Genomic DNA, 19,215 nt, shown 5'->3' on the forward strand with positions numbered 1-19,215 from the left:
CAAAGTGTCCATCATTAGATAAATAGATAAAGAAAATATGGTATATATAAACAATGGGATACTATTTAGCTATAAAAAGAATGAAATTTTGTAATTTGTGGCAACATGGATTAGCTTGTAGAACATCAGGTTAATGAAATAAGCCAGGCACAGAAAGAAATACCACATGTTTTTGGTCATATGTGGAAGCTAAAAAAGTTGACCTCATAGTAGACAGAATAGTGGTTACTAAAGGGAAGGAAGGGGAGGTAGGGGGGCAAATATAAAAGTACAGCTAAATAAAAGAAATAAGTTATAGTGTTCTATAGCACTATAGAGTGACTATAATTAATGAGAACTTATTATGTATTTTCAAATAGCAAGAAGAGCATATTTCTGAATGCTCCCAACATAAATAAATGATAAATGTTTGAAGGGATTGATATACTAATTACCAATTTGATCATTACATATTGTGTACATGTATTGAAATATCACACTGTACCCAATAAATATGTACAATTATGTTTCAATTAAAAAATAATAACAGACAAAACCAAAAAAGTCTCCAATTTTTTTTTTTTTTTTTTTAAAGACTGCCACCCAGCTACTCTGGGCTCCTTGTGCCTCTGAGTCAACAGGTAAAGAGGGAGTTGTGGTGTTGTTGGCTGAGGTGATTCATCTGGACTATCAAGGAGAAACTGAACTACTACTCCACAATGGAAGAATTGAAGAGTATGTCTACAGTACAGGAGATACCTTAGGGTGTTTCTCAGTATTACTCCACGTTGTGATTAGGGCCAATGGATAACTACAAAAATGCAATCCAGGCAGAACTACAAATGGGCCAAACCTTTGGGTCACCCTGCTGGGTAAAGAATCATGAGGTTCTTGCAGAAGGCAAACAAGAAAAAAAAATTGAATAGATAAGTTATAAATACCAGCAATAACCATGTGACCAGTTACAGAAACAAGAACTGTAATTGTTCTAAGTATTTTCTCCTTATTTCATTATGAATGTTTGTGTGTATATACACACATATTAAGCAAATATCTTTGCTTTCTTTCCTGTCTTATTTTCTTATCATGTAACAAAAGTTGTATTGACTTTATATCAATATTTAAGTATTGTTAATTTTACATCATAATATTTAAGTTACAGGCTATCAGGAGAAGAGTAAACATCACTGAAGAACTTCACTCCCCTGGGGAAGGGGCTAGTGTGTTTTTTGTTGTATGCAGGATAGCTGTTTATGTTAGGTAGAATAATGACCTTGTTACTGTCTTCATTTGGAGATCAAGTATGGCTTAAGGAAATACATACGGATGCCGAGTTGAAAACGAGTACTTGTGATGGTTAACTTTATGTGTCAACTTAACTGGGCTAAGGGACGCCCAAATAGCTGGTAAACATTATTTCTGAGTGTATCTGTGGTGGTATTTATTGAAGAGATTAACATTTGAATCAGTAGACTGAGTAAAGATTGCCCTCACCAATGTGTGTGGGCATTATCCAATCCACTGAGGGTCCAAATAGCACAAAAAGGTGAAGGAAGAGTGAATTATCTCGTTTCTTGAGCTAGGACATCCATCTTCTCCTGCCCTTGGACACTGGAGCTCCTAGTTCTTGAGCCTCCAGTACCCTCTGCCTTCCCCACTGGTTTTCAGGTCTTTGGCATTGAAGGAGGAGTTACACCATCAGCTCCCTGATTCTCAGGTCTTTGGACTTAGACTAAATTATGGCACCAGCTTACAGATAGTATATCATGGGATTTCTCAGCCTCTATAATCCTGTGAGCCAATTTCCACAATAAATCTCTCTCTTTACCTACCTACACAGCTCCCATTGTTTCTGTTTTGGGGGAGAACCCTAATACTAGGTCAGAGTGAGTATTTTAAAACATAAAACAGATAAGGTCATTTCTCTCCTGAAGGACCTCCAATAGCTTCATACTCAATTAAGGGTGCTTTACAAAGCCATATGGGATTGGACTCATGCCACCTCTCTATCTTATGTGTTATGACTTCTCCCTTTTCTATTACATTGCAGCAACATTGGCCAGTGTCCCACTCCAAGTGTTTGCCTTCTCTCCTGGTTTTTACATCCCCTGTCTTTCTAGTAGCCTGCTATGCTTGTTTTCCTCTGAATCATCAGTAAAGATTAAAAACTAGATTAGGCTTTAAAATTACTGACAAATATATTAGGGGATCATGATTAATTTTATGTTTAAAAATTTTCATAATTAGAAAACATATATTCTTAAAAATTAAATATACAATATATATTCCATTTATATACTAGTTTTTAGTATTCTATTGCTTAAGTAAAGGTGAGCTACCAGTATACACAAAATTGGTTCAAGGAAGCCACAACAAATAGAAACCAGGCTGAAAGATCAACAGTAAAACAATATTCAAAAGCAACCAATGCAATTTAGAAAAATTAGTCTAGCCTGGGCAACAGAGCAAGACTTGTCTCAAAAAAAAAACCAAAAAAAACAAAAAAAAAACAAAAAAAAAAAAGGAAAGAAAGAGGAGAAAAGAGGAAGTATTCCAGTAAAGAAAACAAAATCCGGGGGGTGGCACCAAGATGGCCGAATAGGAACAGCTCCAGTCTACAGCTCCCAGCATGAGCGACACAGAAGACCGGTGATTTCTGCATTTCCAACTGAGGTACCGGGTTCATCTCACAGGGGAGTGTCGGACAGTGGGTGCAAGACAGTGGGTGCAGCGCACTGAGCATGAGCCGAAGCAGGGCGAGGCATCGCCTCACCTGGGAAGTGCAAGGGGTCAGGGAATTCCCTTTCCTAGTCAAAGAAAGGGGTGACAGACGGCACCTGGAAAATCGGGTCACTCCCATCCTAATACTGCGCTTTTCCAATGGTCTTAGCAAACGGCACACCAGGAGATTATATCCCGCGCCTGGCTCGGAGGGTCCTATGCCCACGGAGCCTCGCTCATTGCTAGCACAGCAGTCTGAGATCAAACTGCAAGGTGGCAGCGAGGCTGGGGGAGGGGCGCCCGCCATTGCTGAGGCTTGAGTAAGTAAAAAAAGTGGCCAGGAAGCTCGAACTGGGTGGAGCCTACCGCAGCTCAAGGAGGCCTGCCTGCCTCTGTAGACTCCACCTCTCAGGGCAGGGCATAGCCAAACAAAAGGCAGCAGAATCCTCTGCAGACTTAAATGTCCGTCTGACAGCTTTGAAGAGAGTAGTGGTTCTCCCAGCTCACAGATGGAAATCTGAGAATGGACAGACTGCCTCCTCAAGTGGGTCCCTGACCCCCAAGTAGCCTAACTGGGAGGCACCCCCCAGTAGGGGCAGACTGACACCTCACACGGCCCTCTGAGACAAAACTTCCAGAGGAACGATCAGGCAGCAACATTTGCTGTTCACCAATATCCGCTGTTCTGCAGCCTCCGCTGCTGATACCCAGGCAAACAGGGTCTGGAGTGGACCTCCAGCAAACTCCGATAGACCTGCAGCTGAGGGTCCTGACTGTTAGAAGGAAAACTAACAAACAGAAAGGACATCCACACCAAAACCCCATCTGTACGTCACCATCATCAAAGACTAAAGGTAGATAAAACCACAAAGATGGGGAAAAAACAGAGCAGAAAAACTGGAAACTCTAAAAATCAGAGCGCCTCTCCTCCTCCAAAGGAACACAGCTCCCCACCAGCAATGGAACAAAGCTGGACAGAGAATGACTTTGATGAGTTGAGAGAAGAAGGCTTCAGACGATCAAACGACTCCGAGCTAAAGGAGGAAGTTCGAACCCATGGCAAAGAAGCTAAAAACCTTGAAAAAAATTAGATGAATGGCTAACTAGAATTACCAATGCAGAGAAGTCCTTAAAGGACCTGATGGAGCTGAAAACCATGGCATGAGAACTACGTGACGAATGCACAAGCCTCAGTAGCCGATTTGATCAACTGGAAGAAAGGGTACCAGTGATGGAAGATCAAATGAATGAAATGAAGTGAGAAGAGAAGTTTAGAGAAAAAAGAATAAAAAGAAACGAACACAGCCTCCAAGAAATATGGGACTATGTGAAAAGACCAAATCTACGTCTGATTGGTGTACCTAAAAGTGATGGGGAGAATGGAACCAAGTTGGAAAACACTCTTCAGGATATTATCCAGGAGAACTTCCCCAATTAGCAAGGCAGGCCAACATTCAAATTCAGGAAATACAGAGAATGCCACAAACATACTCCTCGAGAAGAGCAACTCCAAGACACATAATTGTCAGATTCACCAAAGTTGAAATGAAGGAAAAATTGTTAATGGCAGCCAGAGAGAAAGGTTGGGTTACCCACAAAGGGAAGCCCATCAGACTAACAGCTGTTCTCTCGGCAGAAACTCCACAAGCCAGAAGAGAGCAGGGACCAATATTCAACATTCTTAAAGAAAAGAATTTTCAACGCAGAATTTCATATCCAGCCAAACTAAGCTTCATAAGTGAAGGAGAAATAAAATCCTTTACAGACAAGCAAATGCTGAGAGATTTTGTCACCACCAGGACTGCCCTAAAAGAGCTCCTGAAGGAAGCACTAAACACGGAAAGGAACAACTGGTACCAGCCACTGCAAAAACATGCCAAACTGTAAAGACCATCGAGGCTAGGAAGAAACTGCATCAACTAACGAGCAAAATAACCAGCTAACATCATAATGACAGGATCAAATTCACACATAACAATATTAACCTTAAATGTAAATGGGCTAAATGCTCCAAGTAAAAGACACAGACTGGCAAATTGGATAGTCAAGACCCATCAGTGTGCTGTATTCAGGAGACCCATCTCACATGCAGAGACACACATAGGCTCAAAATAAAGGGATGGAGGAAGATCTACTGAGCAAATGAAAAACAAAAAAAGGCAGTGGTTGCAATCCTAGTCTCTGATAAAACAGACTTTAAACCAACAAAGATCAAAAGAGACAAAGAAGGCCATTACATAATAGTAAAGGGTTCAATTCAACAAGAAGAGCTAACTATCCTAAACATATATGCACCCAATACAGGAGCACCCAGATTCATAAAGCAAGTCCTTAGAGACCTACAAAGAGACTTAGACTCCCACACAATAATAATGGGAGACTTTAACACCCCACTGTCAACATTAGACAGATCAACAAGACAGAAAGTTAACAAGGATATCCAGGAATTGAGCTCAGCTCTGCACCAAGCAGACCTAACAGACATCTGCAGAACTCCCCACCCCAAATCAACAGAATATACGTTCTTCTCAGCACCACACCACACTTATTCCAAAATTGACCACATAGTTAGAAGTAAAGCACTCCTCAGCAAATGTAAAAGATCAGAAATTATAACAAACTGTCTCTCAGACCACAGTGCAATCAAACAAGAACTCAGGATTAAGAAACTCACTCAAAACCGCTCAACTACATGGAAACTGAACAACCTGCTCCTGAATGACTACTGGGTACATAACGAAATGAAGGCAGAAATAAAGATGTTCTTTGAAACCAACGAGAACAAAGACACAACATACCAGAATCTCTGGGACACATTCAAAGCAGTGTGTAGAGGGAAATTTACAGCACTAAATGCTCACAAGAGAAAGCAGGAAAGATCCAAAATTAAAAGAACTAGAGAAAGCAAGAGCAAACACATTCAAAAGTTAGCAGAAGGCAAGAAATAACTAACATCAGAGCAGAACTGAAGGAAATAGAGACACAAAAAACCCTTCCAAAAAATCAATGAATCCAGGAGCTGGTTTTTTGAAAAGATCAACAAAATTGACAGACCGCTAGCAAGACTAATAAGAAAAGAGAGAAGAATCAAATAGATGCAATAAAAAATGATAAAGGGGATATCACCACCAATCCTGCAGAAACACAAACTACCATCAGAGAATACTATAAACACCTCTACGCAAATAAACTAGGATATCTAGAAGAAATGGATAAATTCCTCGACACATACACCCTCCCAAGACTAAACCAGGAAGAAGTTGAATCTCTGAATAGACCAATAACAGGCTCTGAAATTGAGGCGATAATTAATAGCTTACCAACGAAAAAAAGTCCTGGACCAGATGGATTCACAGCCGAATTCTACCAGATGTACAAGGAGGACCTGGTACCATTCCTTCTGAAACTATTCCAATCAACAGAAAAAGAAGGAATCCTCCCTAACTCATTTTATGAGGCCAGCATCATCCTGATACCAAAGTCTGGCAGAGACACAACAAAAAAAGAGAATTTTAGACCAATATCCTTGATGAACATTGATGCAAAAATCCTCAATAAAACACTGGCAAACCGAATCCAGCAGCACATCAAAAAGCTTATCCACCATGATCAAGTGGGCTTCATCCCTGGGATGCAAGGCTGGTTCAACATATGCAAATCAATAAATGTAATCCAGCATATAAACAGAACCAACGACAAAAACCATATGATTATCTCAATAGATGCAGAAAAGGCCTTTGACAAAATTCAACAACACTTCATGCTAAAAACTCTCAATAAATTAGGTATTGATGGGACATATCTCAAAATAGTAAGAGCTATCTATGACAAACCCACAGCCAATATCATACTGAATGGGCCAACACTGGAAGCATTCCCTTTGAAAACTGGCACAAGACAGGGATGCCCTCTCTTACCACTCCTATTCAACATAGTGTTGGAAGTTCTGGCCAGGGCAATCAGACAGGAGAAGGAAATAAAGGGTATTCAATTAGGAAAAGAGGAAGTCAAATTGTCCCTGTTTGCAGAGGACATGATTGTATATCTAGAAAACCCCATCGTTAAGCTGATAGGCAACTTCAGCAAAGTCTCAGGATAGAAAATCGATGTGCAAAAATCAAAAGCATTCTTATACACCAATAACAGACAAACAGAGAGCCAAATCATGAGTGAACTCCCATTCACAATTGCTTCAAAGAGAATAAAATACCTAGGAATCCAACTTACAAGGGACGTGAAGGAGCTCTTTAAGGAGAACTACAAACCACTGCTCAAGGAAATAAAAGAGGACACAAACAAATGGAAGAACATTCCATGCTCATGGGTAGGAAGAATCAATATCATGAAAATGGCCATACTGCCCAAGGTAATTTATAGATTCAATGCCATCCCCAACAAGCTACCAATGACTTTCTCCACAGAATTGGAAAAAACTACTTTAAAGTTCACATGGAACCAAAAAAGAGCCCACATTGCCAAGTCAATCCTAAGCCAAAAGAACAAAGCTAGAGGCATCACGCTACCTGACTTCAAACTATACTACAAGGCTACAGTAACCAAAACAGCATGGTAGTGATACCAAAACAGAGGTATAGACCAATGGAACAGAATAGAGCCCTCAGAAATAACGCCGCATATCTACAACCATCTGATCTTTGGCAAATCTGACAAAAATAAGAAATGGGGAAACGATTCCCTATTTAATAAATGGTGCTGGGAAAACTGGCTAGCCATATGTAGAAAGCTGAAACTGGATCCCTTCCTTACACCTTATACAAAAATTAATTCAAGATGGATTAAAGACTTAAATGTTAGACCTAAACCCATAAAAACCCTAGAAGAAAACCTAGGCAATACCATTCGGGACACAGGCATGGGCTAGGACTTCATGTCTAAAACACCAAAAGCAATGGCAACAAAAGCCAAAATTGACAAATGGGATCTAATTAAACTAAAGAGCTTCTGCACAGCAAAAGAAACTACCATCAGAGTGAACAGGCAACCTACAGAATGGGAGAAAATTTTTGCAATCTACTCATCTCACAAAGGGTTAGTATCCAGAATCAACAATGAACTCAAACAAATTTACAAGAAAAAAACACACAACCCCATCAAAAAGTGGGCCAAGGATATGAACAGACACTTCTCAAAAGAAGACATTTATGCAGCCAACAGACACATGAAGAAATGCTCATCATCACTGGCCATCAGAAAAATGCAAATCAAAACCACAATGAGATACCATCTCACACCAGTTAGAATAGCAATCATTAAAAAGTCAGGAAACAACAGGTGCTGGAGCGGATGTGGAGAAATAGGAACACTTTTACACTGTTGGTGGGACTGTAAACTAGTTCAACCCTTGTGGAAGTCAGTGTGGCGATTCCTCAGGGATCTAGAACTAGAAATACCATTTGACCCAGCAATCCCATTACTGGGCATATACCCAAAGGATTATAAATCATGCTGCTATAAAGACACATGCACACGTATGTTTATTGCGGCACTATTCACAATAGCAAAGACTTGGAACCAACCCAAATGTCCATCAATGATAGACTGGATTAAGAAAATGTGGCACATATACACCATGGAATACTATGCAGTCATAAAAAATGATGAGTTCATGTCCTTTGTAGGGACATGGATGAAGCTGGAAACCATCATCCTCAACAAACTATCGCAAGGACAAAAAACCAAACACCGCATGTTCTCACTCATAGGTGGGAATTGAACAATGAGAACACATGGACACAGGAAGGGGAACATCACACACCGGGGCCTGTTGTGGGATGCGGGGAGAGGGGAGGGATAGCATTAGGAGATATACCTAATGTTGAATGACGAGTTAATGGGTGCAGCACACCAACATGGCACATGTATACATATGTAACTAACCTGCACGTTGTGCACATACACCCTAAAACTTAAAGTATAATAATAAAAAAGAAAACAAAATCCATACTCAATTATGCAGCAAAATGAACAAAATAACAGTTAAGGGCAGAAAGGCATCAAATAGTTCAAAAAGTTCGGTGGCCCATGCCTGTTATCCCAGTACTTTGGGAGGCCAAGGCAGGAAGATTCATTGAGCCCAGGAGTTCGAGAACAGTCTCAGCAACACAGTGAGACCTCGTCTCTACAAAAAAATTAAAAAATTAGCTAGGTGTGGAACCTGTGATTTCAGCTACTCAAGGGGCTGCGATGGGAGGATTGCTTGAGCCCAGGAAGTCCAAGCTGCAGTGAGCCAGGATTACGTCATTGCACTCCAGCCTGGGGAACAGAGCAAGACTCTGTCTTAAAAACAAAAAAAGACAAAAACAAAAAAAACAATGAAAAAGGAACTTCTAGGAAGAAATAGACTCTTGGTACAAACTACTGAAACATGGAAAGCAGCACTAAAGAAAAAGAAACAAATGCATTACAAAATGTGTAATTTTTAAGTACTGCCATAAACTACTCAGTGAATCAGGTAACTGTCCCTGAATCAGGCAACTGTCCCAAAATAAAGAGAATACAGCATCTGATAGAATTCTACACATTAAAAAAGGAGCTAGTCACCTATCATTTTTTCAAAGTGTTCTAAGAATAATGGCCATGTTTCAGAGTATATTATAATACATAGGTACTATTTAATAATCAGTTTATATCTTTCTTCTCTGGCAGTCCCTATTCCAGTTAACATAACAAATCAGAAACCTGTAATCCCTCTTGTCCTCCAAATCCAACTGGTTATCCAATTCCGTCAGTTGTATCTCTAAAATAACCATCTCTCTTTAATCTCCCCTGCCCCATTCAGAGTTTAGGATTTCATTATCTCTCACGTTGACCAATAAAAACAGTTATTTAATTCCTTTGTTCTCACTGCCTTCCAATCATACATCAGCATTATTTTTCTAAAATACAAATAAGATAAAACATGTCACTACCCCATTTAAAACTCTTCAAGGATCAATCCCTAAACTGTATCCAAACATATACTCTTTCCAAGCTCATACAACTGTAAACTGCATCCAAACTCATACTCTTTCATACCTCTGGACCTTCCCCTTTTCTCTATTTGGGAAATTCCTATTTATTCCTCACAGTCCAGGACAAATATTATTTTGTAACAGCTTTCTGGTGACAGCCCTAAGCAAAGTAGTAGTGCCACCTCCTACATTTATGCCTGTCAGTGTCAGAGCTAAATAATCTTAAGCCAATCAGTATTCCTAGAGTTTGGCACACAGCAAGCAGTCAAAAGAAAAAAAAAAGTTGTCTTTTTACTAAATGCAGAAAGTTATGCAATGAGAGAAAAATTACCCATATTAAAAAGTCAGTATTTCAATGCACATTCATCAAAACAACTGTGACATAGAGAATGATACCTAGAAGTCACATGGTAAGATATCAATTATTCATATTAATAAACAATAACTGAAAACAGATCATTTAAAACTGCAGATAATATGTCATTTATATTTAGTTTTAGAATGTATTATTTTTTCTACTACAGATTTACCAGTTCAGTCATGCTTTACCTAAGCTAACATTAAAAATGAACTTACCATTTTTAATGGGTACAGTTTCAGTTCTGCAAGATGAAAAAAGTTCTAGAGATTGATGGTGGTGATGGGTGCACAACAATGTGAATGTCTTTAGTGTCACTGAACTGTACACTAAAATATTATTAAAATGGTAAATTCTGTGTTATGTATACTTCTTGAAATTAATTAATTTTAAAAAATAAACTTGCATTCCTGGGATGTCAGGGTCAGGGGAGGCTCAGAGGTTGCTGCACTGATTCCATTTCAGATTCAACTAATACTTACCATTACTATATATACCAGGCCGAGTGCCAGGCATTTTCATATATTCCATCTCAGGTATTATTAATAACTTTTTACAAATGAAGAATGTAGGGCTCAATAAGTTAAACTATGCCATACAGGCAAAGAACTGATCAGGAAACAGCAATGAAAGATATGTAATAGTCCACAAAGGGAGTAAATCTGACAATTAAAAAACTGAATTGAAATAATGCTCTAAATCCTGCTTATGTTTAGATTCATTCATTCAACAAATATTTATTACCACTGTTTGTCAGTCATTATTCTAGGCACTGGAGATATATCACTAAACAAATCAGATAAAAGACCCCTGTTCTAGCTTACATGCTACTGGAATGCTCAGCAGGGATTTCACAAAATGTAGTCTTTTGATTGGAGGCATTCGACAAAGCATTCACTACAGGGAAGCAGATGTCAGAGAGAGACTTTCTGGCAATGAGAATTGTCCTGTGGAGGATTGGTTATACACTAAAATGTACAAGCAGAAAGGCTGAATGACCACTTTTCACCAAAGATGCTGAAACTTTTCCAAGCTGAGAGAAAATTCACAGGTTGTAAAGGGAGATAACTAGATAAACTTCTAAGACCCTATTCAGCCTTGAAATTCTTTCACTAAGCATCAAACAATATTATGGGAGCTGAGATATTATAGTAGCAACTATCTATATCTTATGTGTGTATTTGTGTTTGATCACATGTATATCTTAATTATGAACTATTTGTCAGTAAAGATTATGTCTTATTCTCCTTACTATCTCACATATCTAGGTCAATACAATGAATCAATGAATGCAATATTATGGGTTTAAAGAGAGTAGCTTCCTCTTAAATCTTGTTCAATTTGACATTTAAATTCCATTTCCAACTTACTATTTTCAAAATAACACTCTTAAAATCTTTGATATTTCCATACTGAAACTGCATTTATTCATGCTTCAAACGAAAAATTCATTGACTACCTAAGTTCCAGCCCTGTGCTAGGTAATAAGGATTAAAAAAAACAACAAGGCACCCTCTCTTAGTCTAGAAGACAGAGAGTTACATAAGTGTGATAAAGTGTTATAACCTCCCTAGTAGCTGGAACTACAGGCTCACACCACCACGACTGGCTACTCTTCCGTATTCTTTGTAGAGATGGGGTTTTGCCATGTTGCCCAGGCTGGTCTCCAATTCCTGGGCTCAAGCAATTGGCCCACTTTAGCCTCCCCAAATGCCGGGATTACAGGTGTGAGCTCCCATGCCCCTTCTTCTTTTTACCTTTCTAAATGTGGCTACTACAAAACTTTAAACTACATAAGTGGCTTGCATTGTATTTCTGCTGGACACAGTGGACAAATTCATTAAATAATAGTTTCCTTTCTCAATAATTATTTCTCATGTAGCCAAATTGTTACAGATTTTTTTTTTTTTTTTGAGATGGAGTTTTGCTCTTGTTGCCCAGGCTGGAGTGCAATGGTGAGATCTCGGCTTACAGCAACCTCCGCCTCCCGGGTTCAAGCAATTCTCCTGTCTCAGCCTCCCAAGTAGCTGGGATTACAGGCATGCGCCACCATGCCCACCAGTTTTGTATTTTTAGTAGAAATGGGGTTTCTCCATGTTGGTCTCGAACTCCTGACTTCAGGTGATCCGCCCACCTTGGCTTCCCAGAGTGTTGGAATTACAGGCATGAGCCACCGAGAAATATTTTTAAGTATTTAAAAAGCAAAACTTCAGACCTCCTCTCCCAATCTGGAAAATTCATGCCAATGACAAAAATGACATCATGGCTATAAAGAAAAGGATAACGAGTAGTCTAATTATTCGTGAGGAATTCCTTAAAGCCAGTCCTTGCTAGGTCTCTTAATCCCTCTTACCTCCACGATAGGGTAAAAAGATACTTACCATTAGGCTGCATAGTCAATGGACTAAAAACCGGTCTAGGGGTTAAGAAGTTTGGGATTTATCCCTGGATCCACCAATACCTTGCTCTGACTTCTGACAAGTCAGTTTCTTTGTATGCTAATTTCTCCATCTGTAAAAAAGGTAGGTGGGGAGGAAGGAGAAGAACATTTATTACCTGTAAAGTACTGAGATCTCTAATTATTAACAATTAGGCTACATTATAAGAAAAGTAGGAAATTTAGATACAGATTTTTTGCTATTAGAATATCTTGGAGTTGCAAAGTACCTTACAGCAAGTACCACAGGTTGAATTTAATTAAGCCTCTATATTCACAGAAATAAAGAATACAGATATTTGCTACATTTGGTCCCATTCAAATACTAAATTTAGTTTCCAGCTAACCAGGTTAAGCCAGAATATCAAAAGACACTAAAAACCCATTAACATGGTGTTATGGGCTGAACTGTGTCTCCCCCAAATTCATACGTTAAAGCCCTAACCCCCAATGTGACTACATTTGGAGACAGGGCATTTAAGGAGGTAATTAAGGTTAAATAAAGTCATACAGGTGAGACCCTAATCTGATATAATTGGTTTCTTTAAAACAAAAGGATGAGACATGAGAGATATCTCTTTCTCTCACATAGAGAAAAATGCTACATGAGGACTCAGAGAGAAGGTGTCATCTATAAGCTAAGGAGAAAGACCTCATCTCTAGCCTCTGCCGCTAGCATCCTGACACTGAACTTCCAGCCCCCAGAACTTTGAGGATATAAATTTCTATTGTTTAAGCCACTCAGTCTGTGGTATTCTGTTATGGCACCCCAAGCACATGATCACAGGACAAATGGGACTGTAGCAATTCTTTGGGAGTACCTCAGTTCCCCTAAAGAACTTTCACTCTTTTATTACAGTCGGAGTGGGAGTAAAGTAGAACAAAAACAAAGTAAAAACAAAACAAAAAATGCTGAATTTGACGTTAAAATTTTACCCTGATCTGAATCTCCTCTATTTTGCCTTAATGTTTATTTTCCCTTTAAGACGTTAGGCAGGTAACATGGCCAGACACGGTGGCTCACGTCTGTAGTCCCAGCACTTTGAAAGGCTGAGGCTGACGGATGCTTGAGGTCAGGAGTTCGAGACCAGCCTGGCCAACATGGCGAAACCCCATCTCTACTAAAAATACAAAAATTAGCCAAGCATGGTGGCACATGCTTGTAATCCCGGCTACTCGAGAGGCTGAGGCATCAGAATCACTTGAACCCAGGAGGCGGAGGTTGCAGTGAGCTGAGATCATGCCACTGCACTCCAACCTAGGCGACAGAGTGAGACTTGGTCAAAAAAAAAAAAAAAAACCCCAAAAAACAAAAAGACTTCAGGCTGTAACTTAACTGAATCTCAGTTTTCTTATTAGTAAAATGGGAATAATAATCCCAATGCTACTTGCTTCACTGGGCTGCTGTAAATAACAAATGAAAAAATGGCTTTGAAAGTGCTTAATGGCTGGGTGTGGTGGCTCACACCTGTAAAGAGGTTAAGGCAGGAGGACCACCTGTAATCCCAGTATTTTAGGAGGCTGAAGTAGGGGGGAATCGCCTGAACTCAAGAGTTCGAGACCAGCCTGGACAACACAGTGAGACCCCCATCTCTAGGAGTTTGAGACTCAGAAACATGGTGAAACCCCATCTCTACAAAAAAAAAAAAAATATAAAAATTAGCCAGGTGTGGTGGTGTGTGCACCTATAGTTCCAGCTACTTGGGAGGTTAAGGCAGGAGGATCACCTGAGCTCAGGAGGTCAAGGCTGCAGTGAGCTATGGTCATACCACTGCACTCCAGCCTGGGCAACAGAAACACTGTCTCAAAATAAATAAATAAATAAAAATAAACAAAATAAAATTTATGGTAGTATAATCTTCTTGGAGGATGTGAAAGTTCTTGTATTTATTCCAAAAGATAGTAATGGCACTAAGGGGCTGGAATAAGAACAGTAACGTGAATCCTCAAAATGCATGTTCAGAGCCCTGAAACATTAAGAGATTAGTCTTAGGAACACCCTAGAAAATATATCCTCTTCAATTTCTAAGAAAAGAGCACAAGAGCATAGACTACGAATATCCAAAGCAGTGCCTCCAGAGTAGCTGGGATTATAGGCATGTGCCGCCATGCTTGGCTAATTTTTGTATTTTTAGTAGAGATGGGGTTTCACCATGTTGGCCAGGCTGGTCTCGAACTCCTGACCTCAAGAATCTGCCAGCCTCAGCCTCTCAAAATTTAATGCAATGATGGAAATGTTCAATATTCCTGTTGTCCAATGGGTAGCCACTAGCCACATGTGGCTATTTAGGACTTGAAATGTAGCTAGTGCAAACTGAGTGCATTTTTAATTGTATTTAATTTTTATTAAATTTACATTTAATTAGACATACATGGTTGTGGCTACTCATTGCATAGTGCAGATCTGGAGAATGTAATGACTCCGTATTTCTGGAAGTCGTTGAAAGAAGTATAATAGGTAGTAGAAGAATCTGTAAGGCTATGGTAGTATCCTTTCAAAATGTAATAAAACAATCACAACAGGCCACCCCTTGAAGCAAGGAAAAGTAGAATTCTTCATATATTAAGATACAATTAAAAACTTAGTTACAAATTATCACCTGTATAGTAATAAGTCAAATTATTAATATATAATTATCATTTTAAGTGTTTACTACATGCCAGATATTGTGTTAAGTATTTCAAAGAACAGGAAGAGAAGAATACTTCCCCTAGAAATGGAAACTGGAAAACAGAAAAAAGATGCATCAAACATACTTCTGAAAATTCAATAAGAAAAGACAGAACTCTCAGTTTTAGATAAATCATAATACTATGCCAATATGCAGAGAAATCAAAATGGAAAAGCTGTGAGCAGAACATCTACTCACTGTGGTGATGGAAGGACAAGCTACAGGGAGGCAGGAGACAGAGGATTCATCTGTGATGTGCCACTGATCAGCCACTCTCTCATTAACAAGTTTTTTTTGTTGTTGTTGTTACTTTGTTTTGAGACGGAGTTTCACTCTGGTTGCTCAGGCTGGAGTGCAGTGGCATGATGTTGGCTCACTGCAACCTCTGCCTCGCGGGTTCCAGCGATTCTCCTGCCTCAGCCTCCTGAGTAGCTGGGATGAGAGGTGCCTGTCACCAAGCCTGGCTAATTTTTTGTATTTTTAGTAGAGACAGGGTTTCATCATGTTGGCCAGGTTGGTCTTGAACTCCTGACCTCAGGTGATCCACCCGCCTCGGCCTCCCAAAGTGATGGGATTACAAGGCACGAGCCACTGCGCCCAGCCGAGTATTTCCAGCACATCTCAGCTGATTCTCTGTCTCCAGCTCTCCTTCATTTACTTTTACTTTATTAGGAGATAACTATGATGAGATGCAATATTCTTCTGGAATGATCCACCAGAAGAAGGGGGAGGAAGGAAACTGGCCAATCTCTTTCTCAAAGAAAGCAATAAATCCTATCTCCTCCATGTAGCAGAGGTGAACAAAGAAGATGGAGCATATCTCTTTGGTGTCCCCCTGCTCCACTTGCTTTGTAGCAACTATACATCTTTGTGTATGCACAGAAAAGAACCCATGAGAACACCAGTATTTCCTTTAACAAGTAATGCAGCTAGCAATAAGTGGCTAATGAAAATGCCATGACTTCCTTTGTCCTACAGGCAGTCCTAGTATTCTTTAACTATGTATAATGTTTACCCTTTCCAGAAACTTGCAGAGGTGTGAGGCAGAGCGTAAGAGAAGCTAATGCTTTTTGGAATGCTTCTGGCTCATGCTTCTTGAACAGAGAAGAAGTTCAGTGGTTCCTATAGTGCCACTTCATAGTTCCTAGCAGACATATATGGATCTGATGTCATTAAATAAGCAATGCATCAGCATCATCATTATTCCAGTCAATATTTGGAATAAAGACGATGACAGTCCTGGATGCTCCATTCTTGCCAGTCCAAACATATCAGAAGTAGGATTTTATGTTTCATTCTAGGTCCTATATTTTGAATGAGATACAAATGCACAATCTCATTTAAAGTAAAGCAACAAGAAGAGTGAGAATTTAAGAAACTAGGGAAGGTTAACTAGAAGGAAAGACTCAGGGGAAACATGAGAGCTGTTTGCAAATATCTGGAGGGATTTCATGTAGGAGAGAGATGAGATTTGCTCTACTTCTTCAATATTACCCCAAGGGAGAGAATTAGAACCAGTGGGTGGAAGCTATAGGTAGATAGACTTCAGCATATTATTAGGAAGAACTTTCTGCCAGTCAGAGCTCTGTATCCAAAAGTGGGATAAGCTCTCTGGGAAGGAGAGGCATGAATTTGCCATCACTAAGGATGTGAAAGCAGAGGTAAAATAACCTATTGGTGAAGATACTAAATCATTAGGAGGAAGAGGGAGGCTGGACTGGGTAACCTTTAAAGTTCCTTCCAAATCTGAGACTTCAAATCTGAGTCCTGGTTTTTATAAACAACACTGTGCAAGTTTAGGTTTTGTAGCATGGACAGTGTGTGTGTGCATGTATGTATGTGTGTATACAAATATATACAATACCAACTTTCTTTCTGAAGCCTTACAGAAGTGTGATATGGGGACAGAAGACATAACAACAGCATCATCACCACCATCATCTTTTTTCTCTTCTGCGTCTCCATCTACCATTTACTGGCACTGTGGTAGGCACTTTACATACCTTACATACCTAAGGTATCTTTTAAGTTAGTTAGTTTTTAAGAGACAGGGTCTCACCCTGTTGCTCAGGCTGGAGTACAGTGGCATGATCATAGTTCACTGCAGCCTCAAACTCCTGGACTCACGCAATCCTCCCACCTCAGCCTTCTGAGTGGCTAGGATTACTGGTGTGCATCAATGCGCCTGGCTAACTTTTTTATTTTTTGTAGAGGCGAGGTCTCACTATGTTATCCAGGCTGGTCTTGAACTCCTGGCCTCAAGCAATCCTCCTGTCTTGGCCTCCCAAAGTTCTGGGATTACAGGTGTGAGTTACCATGCCTGGTCCCCTTTTAAGTTCTATCATATTGCAGGTTTATGGGCAAGGCCCAGCTCAATTATTTCCACTGTAGCTACTACAACATAACTTGGCTGAAATCTCTTCCTTCTTTGAAATAATGAACAATGTGTGTCTGCTTTATTTTACACAGTAAATATACTACTGACAAGTTAAGTGTAAATGAAATTTTTTATTAAAATTAAGTATATTTGAACATATCAAAATGGCTAGTTAAAAGTAATCTTTATAAAAATAAGTCCAAGGTTCACTGCAAAGTAATCTGCTCTATAAATTTAGATTTCATATATTGGATTTTCTCCTATACCATTTTATCCTCTATTCAAGCCAACCATGTCAAAGTCACATTGTGGTCTTTTCCTTTGTGCTTACCACTCTGCTGGTATAAACATAGAACTACAGATTTGGAAGAAATGTTGAAAGTCATTTAGTTTAATGTCTCCTCCTCCTTCCATCTCCAATCCTACCATCTCTAGCCAATGTTTGCATTTGGTATACTTCTATTGGCAAAATTTTCATAGTGCATATGTATTACTTTAACATGCATACAATATATATGTATTTTTTTAAAAAAATTGTCCAAAGGGGTAAATATTTACCATAGCAATCATACAGGGTTGGACAGGAACCAGTCCTCTTAGGGAGACAGAATGAGAGAGAATGGTGTGTGCTATGACTTGACACCTCCACCAATTATAATACACTTGGGATACTAAGGTGTGTATATTTTTGTGGGAAGGTTGAATGCCCCTTACCTCCTTGAAAGTCACTGCTAATCTATATCTCAATTGGATATACCAGCTCTTCAAGTATTTTAGGACAGCTTTCATGTGTGCAAGGAAAAGTTAATTGCTTTCTGGTCTCATCAAGGTTAAACGCAATGACTGACTATATAATGTATCTTACTGTATGACTATATAACATGTCTTAAGTATCTGCTTCCTTGCCCTGCCCATTCTGCCTAATCCATAGTATACTCTTCTAATTGGAAACCCTGCCTTCCATCATTACTCTTTTATTGTCTGTTCATTTTCTCTTTACCATGTTGGGATAGTACATTTCCCAATTACTTGGACTAAGTACCTTACTCCAAGCTTAAAAGTATTTTTACCAAATATCTCCAGATTTCCCCTTCTCTATTATGAAGACTCTGCAGACTGACAGCCTGGGTTCAGACTTGGTTCTATCACTTACCAGTTGTATTAACTTGACCAAGTTAACTTAGCCTCCTGTGCCTGAGTTTCCTCCGCAGCAAAATAAAGACAATAATAGCAATTATCTCATTTAGTTGTTGAGAGGATTAAATAGGAGACACACACACACACACACACACACACACACCACTTAGAACAGTACCTGGCACATAGTAAACACTCAGTCAATGTTAATTTATGTTGCTGCTTCCTTTTCCTTCATCATCATCCTTTGCTACTATTTAGGAAACTATTTTGCTGCAGGCCCGGAGTGTTTACTTCAAAATTTCTTTCCATTAGATTTGTGTTCCCTCTTTCTCAATCCAAACATTCTTGACATTTAATCTCTTCAGCATAGGTCTCTCTGACAAACTGAATTGGAGTGGAGCTTTCTTACCTAGCATACCTACTACTATGGCTTGTTTTCATTGCATTATGATGCACACTTATGCTTCACCAATTCACATTCCTCTTCTTTTCATATCCAAAGCCCACTCCTAGAGCAGGGGTTGGCAAACTTTTTCTGTAAAGGGCCAGATGGCAAATAT

General features: G+C 39.4%; 1 protein-coding gene across 41 annotated transcripts in view; it reads right to left on the reverse strand.

The window, feature by feature from the left end:
* Positions 1 to 19,215, reverse strand: part of SCMH1 (Scm polycomb group protein homolog 1) — a 215,105-nt gene that overhangs the window by 146,509 nt on the left and 49,381 nt on the right. For 36 of the 41 annotated variants that reach the window (NR_135092.2, XR_946584.3, XR_007096354.1 and 33 more), the window contains one exon: positions 12,411 to 12,540. The exons of 4 other annotated variants lie outside the window; for them this stretch is intronic. Coding sequence is in view for 12 of the 37 variants with exons in the window: in XM_047449591.1 (XP_047305547.1) it covers positions 12,411 to 12,423 (13 nt within the window). In the remaining 25 variants the exon portion in view is untranslated. Of the gene's footprint in view, positions 1 to 12,410; positions 12,541 to 19,064; positions 19,191 to 19,215 lie in introns of those variants that run through there. One more of the 41 variants, XM_047449565.1, reaches the window with a different exon arrangement.

Source organism: Homo sapiens, chromosome 1, assembly GCF_000001405.40.
Source record: "Homo sapiens chromosome 1, GRCh38.p14 Primary Assembly".
Classification (NCBI taxonomy): domain Eukaryota; kingdom Metazoa; phylum Chordata; class Mammalia; order Primates; family Hominidae; genus Homo; species Homo sapiens.